Genomic DNA, 8,118 nt, shown 5'->3' with positions numbered 1-8,118 from the left:
CTAAGATAAAGGGGGGTGGGGAGGTAACAGTGAGGCAAGAAAAAGATCTATTTAGGATTCAGCTTGTCCAGTCTCCCACAGGGCTTAAGCTTCATACTTGTTTTGTCACTTCATCCATCAGCGCTTGTATCTGCTGTGGCTTGGCTGTTGTAACAGTCTCTACAACTGCTGGCTTCGGGGACGTTTTTGCCTGGAGAACAACAAAGTTATCACCAGCAACCATAAATATCCCCTAACCTCCAGTTTTATACAGCATCTCAGAGGGAAAGTGGTTACCTTTAAGTCGAAGGTCTCTTCTAGTTAAGACAGGAAAGAAAAACTGTAAGTGAGGAAGCGGCAGGGCCAAAAGATGGAAAGAGTGATGGGTGAGGACTACTTAGGGAAATTAGGGAAGTGATGCTGTGGCTGTTGTGGAGCGAGGGCACAGCCTTTAGCTTTCTCACCTGGCCCCCTCCAAAGCGCTGCCTTAAACTTTCAATCTGGTCATTTTCCAATTTTTGGAACAAGGGACTGACCTGTAAAAAAAGAGTTCCAGAATCATCTACTGATTGGATACAGACTCTACCATAGACTATACAGATGACCTCTCCAACCCCAATCTCTGATGTGTTTTAGAAAGAACGAGCTTAACACTGAGCTAATATCTGCTGATTTTAGGAAATTAGCTGTAGCTTTCCCTGTGAAACCCCAAATAATTTGTAGGGTCAAAGATTCTTTAAGCTCTCTAAGGATGCTAGGCTGATCCAGAAGTTTAGCAATGTACTTACTTTTTCATTTTGTGTCAAAGAGGAAATGGCTTTCCTGTATTTTCCCTGCCCACTATCTGCTAGCATTATGGAGACTAGGTGATCACAGTGTTTCTTCAAATATCTGTTTACCAGTTAGTTTTGTGTGCCAGGTTCTGGTTTCTGGCATGAAGAACAATGAAGATGTACAGATAATTCCGGACTTGTGAACGACTACCAAGGACTTTATATCAGAAACTTAGGAGTCCCATGACCAAAGTAACACTGGAGAGATGTTAGGTCTTCTCTCACCCACTCCAAAAGCTGCATGGCAAGAGTATCAATTTTAAGAGAGGCTGGCTCTTCCACCTACTGTGCCAATCTGGTGTCCTGCTGGTAAGGTACACAGGAAGTTTGTCAGCAGGATACTGCAGGCTGGAGGTGGGAGCTGCAGCTGGGCCTGGATTGTGGCACTAACCGTGGGCATGTAAGGCTGAAGCATGACAGAGAGCAAGGCAGCTATATTCACTGCCAAGCCAGTCACTGTTCCTGCCCGTTGCCTGAGGAAGAGGAGACATTAGTCAAGACCTCCAGGAGGATACAGCTTACAAGCCACTTTATGCCTTTAGCCAACCCTCCCCGCTTACCTACCTGTCAGCCTCACTGCCTTTAATCCGCTTCCAGGGCTCATTCACCTGAATATATTGGTTGCCATGTCGAGATATGGTGAGGATACTGCGCAAGGCATCCCGGATCCTGGGAAGGGAGGAAGCAGGCCAAGGTGTAATGTCCTACAGAGACCAATACAAGGAGGCTCTCAACATGCCAGCAGAAAAGACAGAGGTGTCAGTTACTTACCGAACCTTCTCAAGTAGCTGGTGATAGTGCTGGAGCTCCAGGGTGACATGGGCCAGCAGGCGCTGATCATCAGGGGTGAGCACCATCTCAGGCACATAGCCCCCAAAGAACTTAGACACAAACATCCCAGCTCTTGGTTGGGAGTAGGAAAGCAGAAGTGGAAAAAAGAGGGGAAGTTATTATCCCGTCTCCTTGTTAGAATTTCACCCAATTTCCACAGCTGTACATTCTCTCAGGATTCCTGCCTGGAACAGGTAACTCCTGGCTCCCTCAAGCTAGTAGACAAGGCCTAATTATTTACTCTTTCTCTCCCCTAAGAATCTGACTCTGCACATAAGAAACCTGATTAAGTTAAACAACTGTACCTCTTATTTTTAAGAAGTCATTACTCGGCCGGGCGCAGTGGCTCACGCCTAAAATCCCAGCACTCTGGGAGGCCGAGGTGGGCAGATCACCTGAGGTCAGAAGTTCAAGACCAGCCTGGCCTGGCCATGGTGAAACCTCGTCTCTACTAAAAATGCAAAAAATTAGCCGGGCGTGGTGGTGTGCACCTGTAATCCCAGCTACTCTGGAGGCTGAGGCAGGAGAATTGCTTGAACCCGGGAGGCGGAGGTTGCAGTGAGCCAAGATCGCGCCACTGCACTCCAGCCTGGGCAACAAGAGAGAAACTCCATCTCAAAAAAAAAAAAAAAAAGTCATTACTCAAAATGACCAAGCTGAGTATGTGTTAACTGCTATCAAACAAACACTCTAGGCAAGTACTTTTTTTTTTTTTTAATTTTTTTTTTTTTTGAGGATTCTCACTCTGTTGCCCAGGCTGGAGCACAGTGGCATGATCTTGGCTCACTGCAACCTTTGCCTCCCGGGTTCAAGTGATTCTCCTGCCTCAACCTCTTGAGTAGCTGGGATTACAGATGTGCGCCACCACGCCCGGCTACTTTTTGTATTTTTAGTGGAGACGGGGTTTCACCAGGTTGGCCAGGCTGGTCTCGAACTCCTGTAGGTAAGGACTATTTATTAAATGTGGTTAATTACCAAAGCTGAAAGTGAGTAGCAGGACTGACCTATAAGGGTCCAGGGCTCAGAGAGTGTGACTAAAGAATCCTAAATTCTGGAGAATACTGCTTTAGATTGCAGAAGAGCTGAGATAGGCACCAATGATAGAATGTGAGCCTAAGGTAACAAAAACTCTGAACTCTGAAGAGTATAGCAGAAGCCTTTTTTTTTTTTTTTTTTTGAGACAGGATCTCCCTCTTTTGCCAAGGCTGGAGTGTAGGGGTACGAGTACTGCTCCACTGCAGCCTCAATCTCCCAAGTTCAAGAGACCATCCCGCCTCAGCATCCTGAGTGGCTGGGACTACAGGTGTGCGCCACCACGCCTGGCTGATTCTTTTTGTAGAGATGGGAGATTCATTATGTTGGTCAGGCAAGTCTTGAACTCCCGGCCTCAAGTGATCCTCCTGCCTCAGCCTCCCAAAGTGCTGGGATTACAAATGTAAGCCACCATGCCCAGCCCACAGAAGCCTCCTACCCCCACACCAAAATAACCCCTTTCTTCAGCCAAACTTTTCAATGATCTGCAGGTGAACTATTTTGCTGGGAGAGAATACATCTTCAATTCTACAAAGAACAGTAATAAGGAAACAATTTACAAAAACCCACTTTATAACCAACTTTGCTAAATCACATCTCTACAGCTAACTGTTCCATCAAGCACACATAGCCTAGTATGTGCTAGGAACAGATCCCAATTAATAGAAATCAACTTTCCACAGTGTCCTCACAGCCTCCTGCCCATTTTCTAGTTCTCTCCACATTCCCATCTCCTGAGGGAAAATGAGCCCCACCCCAGCTCACTGCTAACTCTGACCCCTTACCAAGTCCTACCTGTTGATGAAGTTGCCCAGGTTGTTAAGCAGCTCAGAATTATTCTTCAGCAGCAGGTCCGTCCAGGAGAAAGCACTGTCCTGGCCCTCAGGCCGAATGTACAGCAGATAGAAGCGCCAGATGTCAGCAGGGATCCCCGTGTCCTGGGCCATGTCCCCAAACACTCCCACACCGCGGCTCTTAGAGAATTTCCCATCCTCATAGTTCAGGTACTCTGGACAGAGGAGAATGAGTGAGAACCATCTGCTCACATCACATCCTTCCCCTCTCTAGCCCACTAACTCTTCCTTCTTTCCTCTTTCTAACCTCAACTATGGGTGTCTAGCAACATTTCTCCTTAAGGGGCTGGTATGCTCAGATTTTGGGAGTCCCTTCCTATCCATTCTGGCCCTTTTTTCTCTTTGCTTATATCTACTAAAGAGTTTTAGCTTTAGACTTTTGCTTTCTTCAGGTTCTTGTTCGTTTCTCTAGGTTGAGTTCTCATTTTAATTATTTCCTATTTCAGCTCAACTCCTAACTCAAGATAGCAGCTCTCCAAGATCTTTTTCCAAGTACTGCCTCACCCCTCATTTCCTATGAACACCCCATCAGTAGTCTTCCAGGGTACTTACCTGTAGCAATGAGGTGGCTGACCAAGGTATAGTTATCCTCAGCTCCTAGGGCTGAGCAAGGAAAGACTAAGCTATGGAAAGGAACATTGTCTTTGGCCATGAACTGATACAGGTCCACCTAGGGGAATGTGGTTAGGAGAGATTTCCTGAGACCTCCTTCAAAGGCCCAAGGAAGACCAGACACCCAACCCTAACACCCACACCCTACCGCCTACCCTCCCCATGCACAGCCTAACCAAGAACTGCTCACTTGCTCTGGGTTCTTCCACCATCTCTCCCACTGGTCTGTGTAGTTGGCTGTGATGGACAGATAGCCAATAGTGGCATCAAACCAGACATAGAATACCTGGAGGTCAGAAGGAGGTAAACATGTTAGGGACCAATCCAAAGTCTCAAACTGAAACAAGACATAATCAGCAGTCTACTCTGCTAGCCCAGGGTTTCAACACTAAGGCTGAATGATATGAATAAAAAAGGGTTTTTACCTTGTCTTCAAAACCTTCTAAGGGTACAGGGGTTCCCCATTTGAGGTCTCGGGTTATGCAGCGTGGCTTGAGGCCATCCCGAAGCCAAGAACGGGTGATAAACTGGGCATTGGGTGTCCAGTCACTGCCAGGCAATGTCCTCCCCAACCACTCCTCCAGTCGCTTCTCCAGCTGAGATAACGGAGAAAGAGGGCTGATTTAGGAAAGTCTCATATATGGTTAGCATAAGGATAAACACATATAACCTTTTTGGAGCACAATTTGGCAATATATAACTTTTTTTTTGGAGACAGAGTCTTGCTCTGTTGCCCAGACTAGAGTGCAGTGGTGCAATCATAATCACAGCTCACTGCAGCCTAAACCTCCTGGGCTCAAGCAATCCTCCTACCTCAACCTCCCCAGTAGCTGGGACCACAGGTGCACACCACCATGCCAGACTGTAATTTTTGTAGAAACAGGGTTTTGCCACATTGCCCAGGCTGGTCTTGAACTCCTGAGCTCAAGCAATCTGCCCACCTCAGCCTCCAAAAGCGCTGAGACTACAGTTGTGAGCCACCCTGCCCAGCCTTAACTAGATTTTTAACACACAGCCAGGGGCAGTGGCTTGCGCCTGTAATCCCAGCTACTCCGAAGGCTGACGCAGGAGGATCACTTGAGGGCAGGAGTTCATGACCATCCTGGGCAACACAGCAAAATCCTGTCCCTAAAAAAAATTTTTTTTTTTTTAATTTTTAAAAATATGGAACACTTCACAAGTTTGCATGTCATTCTTGTGCAGAGGATGTGCTAATCTTGTCCATATCAGGGTCTCACTGTCACCCAGGCTGGAGTACAGTGGCACATCATGGCTCACTGCAGCCTCAACCTCCCAGGCTTAAGTGATCCTTCCACCTCAGCCTCCTGAGTAGCTGGCACTACAGGCACGTGCCACCACACCTGGTTAATTTTTGTATTTTTAGTAGAGATGGGTTTCACCAAGTTGCCCACCCTGGTCTCAAACTCCTGGGGTCAAGCAATTCTCCCGCCTCAGCCTCCCAAAGTGTTGGAAGTTGGAATTACAGGCATAAGCCACCGTGCCCAACCAATTTTTTCTTTTTTTAAATACAGACAGGGTCTTGCTTTGTTGCCCAGGCTACTCTCAAACTCCTGGCTTCCAGCGATCCTCCTGCCTCAGCCTCCCAAAGTGCTGGAATTACAGGCATGAACCACCATGGCCAGCTGAGGAAGTGCAAAAAAGAAAAAAAAAATTTTCTTTTTTTTTTTTAAGGTAGGGTGTCACTCTGTTGCCCAGGCTGGTCTTAAACTCCAAGGCTCAAGCAATCCTCCAGCCTTGGCCTCCCAAAGCATTGGGATTACAGGTGTAAACCAGCATGCCCAACCAAAAAAAAATTTTTTTGAGCTGGAGTCTTGCTCAGCTGCCCGGGCTGGAGTGCAGTGGCACGATCTCAGCTCACTGCAACCTCCCCACCTCCAGGTTCAAGCGATTCTCCTGCCTCAGCCTCCTGAGTAGCTGGGACTACAGGTCGGTGCCACCACGCCTGGCTAATTTTTGTATTTTTAGTAGAGATGGGGTTTCACCACGTTGGCCAGGATGGTCTCGGTCTATTGACCTCATGATCCGCCTGCCTTGGCCTCCCAAACTGCTGGGATTACAGGCGTGAGTCACCATGCCTAGTCAATTTTTTTTTAATCAGCCAGGCATGATAGTACACGCCTGTAGTCCCAACTACGCAGAAGGCTGAAGCAAAAGGATAACTTGAGCCCGAGAGTTTGAGAGTGCGGTGAGCTGTGATTGTGCCACTGCACTCCAGCCTGGGTGACAGAGTGAGACCCTGTCTCTAGAAAAAAATTTTGTTTGAACACACTTGGCTATATACCCTTAGTCTAGGGGAGGAATCAGGATTGCCAACAAATCCTAAACTCTTTTTAATAGGTTATTTTTTTTGTAGACGTACCAGCAAAGCAATTCTGAAATTGTTTTAGGTATATTGTAGGATTGAGCTAATAAGTAAATGTGCTGATGCCTATTGAGAACCAGGACACCTACAGTGGAAGAAGGTAGATAGAGACATGAAATAAATAAGAGAAAGTGACGAAGAACTCTGTGGGGATGGACTGAAATTGCAGGTGTCAGTGTGAACTTAAAATAAATACCAACTGGCCAGGCACGATGGCTCACGCCTGTAATCCCAGCACTTCGGGAGGCCAAGGCAGGCAGATCACCTGAGATCAGGAGTTGGAGACCAGCCTGGCCAACATGGTGAAACCCTGTCTCTACTAAAAATACAAAAAAAATTAGCTGGGTGTGGTGGCAGGTGCCTGTAATCCCAGCTACTCAGGAGGCTGAGGCAGGAGAATCGCTTGAATCCTGGAGATGGCAGTTGCAGTGAGCCAAGATAGTGCCACTGCACTCCAGCCTAGGTGACAGCAAGACCCTGTCTCAAAACAAACAAACAAACAACAAAAAACAAATACCAACTCTCTTTGATAAAAGGTCCTAGTAGCAAAGACACCCAGTAGCAATGAGCACATCTACCACCTAGATTTTGGTATCTAATACTGTTCCCTACTAAATTAAACTCAAGGTTGGTGACATGGTTGATTTCAAGGCTGAACCAGATGAACCTAGAGTATTTTTTTATGCCACAAATTAAGGAAGTGTTTAAAACATGATGGGAGATCTCAAAAGCAGACAAGCCACCTTGAATACGTTCCTACTGATGAAATAAGTAACAATTTGAACATGAAAATAAATTTAGGACAGGAAAGGATTATAAGAAATTGAAAAAAATAGGAATCCATGAGTCTATACTGATAATAAATAGTTAACTAAATTAAAAAATAAATGGAGGGAGAAGGATAAATATAGAGAGTAGTGGTAGAGTTGGAAAATCACCATAATAAAGATTGATTCAGGTAAGAATGATCAATGAATGCTACATTTATAGGGAATATTTTGTTCACGAAGAGCAAAGTATTGCATGGTCTTTAAAGTGTATTCCCTCAAGGCTGGGCGCAGTGGCTTACACCTGTAATCCCAGCACTTTGGGAGGCTAAGGCGGGTGAATCATTTGAGGTCAGAAGTTTGAGACCAGCCTGGCCAACATAGTGAAACCCCATCTCTATTAGAAATACAAAAATGCTCTCCCTCTACCCTCTACCCTCTACCTCTACCTCTACCTCTACCTCTCCCCACGGTCTCCCTCTCCCTCTCTTTCCACGGTCTCCCTCTGATGCCGAGCCGAAGCTGGACTGTACTGCCGCCATCTCTGCTCACTGCAACCTCCCTGCCTGATTCTCCTGCCTCAGCCTGCCGAGTGCCTGCGATTGCGGGCGCGTGCCGCCACGCCTGACTGGTTTTCGTATTTTTTTGGTAGAGACGGGGTTTCGCTGTGTTGGCCGGGCTGGTCTCCAGCTCCTAACCGCCAGTGATCCGCCAGCCTCGGCCTCCCGAGGTGCCGGGATTGCAGACGGAGTCTCGTTCACTCAGTGCTCAATGGTGCCCAGGCTGGAGTGCAGTGGTGTGATCTCGGCTCGCTACAACCTCCACCT

At 47.0% G+C, this 8,118-nt stretch overlaps 1 protein-coding gene, 1 non-coding gene and 1 pseudogene across 4 annotated transcripts in view; all 3 read right to left on the bottom strand.

The window, feature by feature from the left end:
- The window catches only part of MARS1 (methionyl-tRNA synthetase 1), a 28,585-nt gene that overhangs the window by 218 nt on the left and 20,249 nt on the right, over positions 1-8,118 (bottom strand). For 2 of the 3 annotated variants that reach the window (NM_004990.4, XM_047428851.1), the window contains 9 exons: positions 4,567-4,737; positions 4,332-4,427; positions 4,082-4,199; positions 3,471-3,684; positions 1,584-1,715; positions 1,377-1,481; positions 1,099-1,285; positions 444-515; positions 98-190 (listed from right to left, as the gene is read on the bottom strand). In NM_004990.4, the coding sequence (NP_004981.2) occupies positions 98-190; positions 444-515; positions 1,099-1,285; positions 1,377-1,481; positions 1,584-1,715; positions 3,471-3,684; positions 4,082-4,199; positions 4,332-4,427; positions 4,567-4,737 (1,188 nt within the window). Of the gene's footprint in view, positions 1-97; positions 191-443; positions 516-1,098; positions 1,286-1,376; positions 1,482-1,583; positions 1,716-3,470; positions 3,685-4,081; positions 4,200-4,331; positions 4,428-4,566; positions 4,738-8,118 lie in introns of those variants that run through there. The other variant, XM_047428852.1, reaches the window with a different exon arrangement.
- Positions 3,685-3,747, bottom strand: MIR6758 (microRNA 6758). The gene has a single exon (NR_106816.1). It is a non-coding gene; the product is annotated as a microRNA 6758 (primary transcript).
- On the bottom strand, positions 5,300-5,398 carry LOC124903093 (uncharacterized; annotated as a pseudogene).

The sequence above is a fragment of the Homo sapiens genome, chromosome 12 (assembly GCF_000001405.40).
Source record: "Homo sapiens chromosome 12, GRCh38.p14 Primary Assembly".
NCBI lineage: Eukaryota > Metazoa > Chordata > Mammalia > Primates > Hominidae > Homo > Homo sapiens.
The sequence above is the reverse complement of the archived record's forward strand: the minus strand, read 5'-3'. Positions and strand labels throughout refer to the sequence as shown.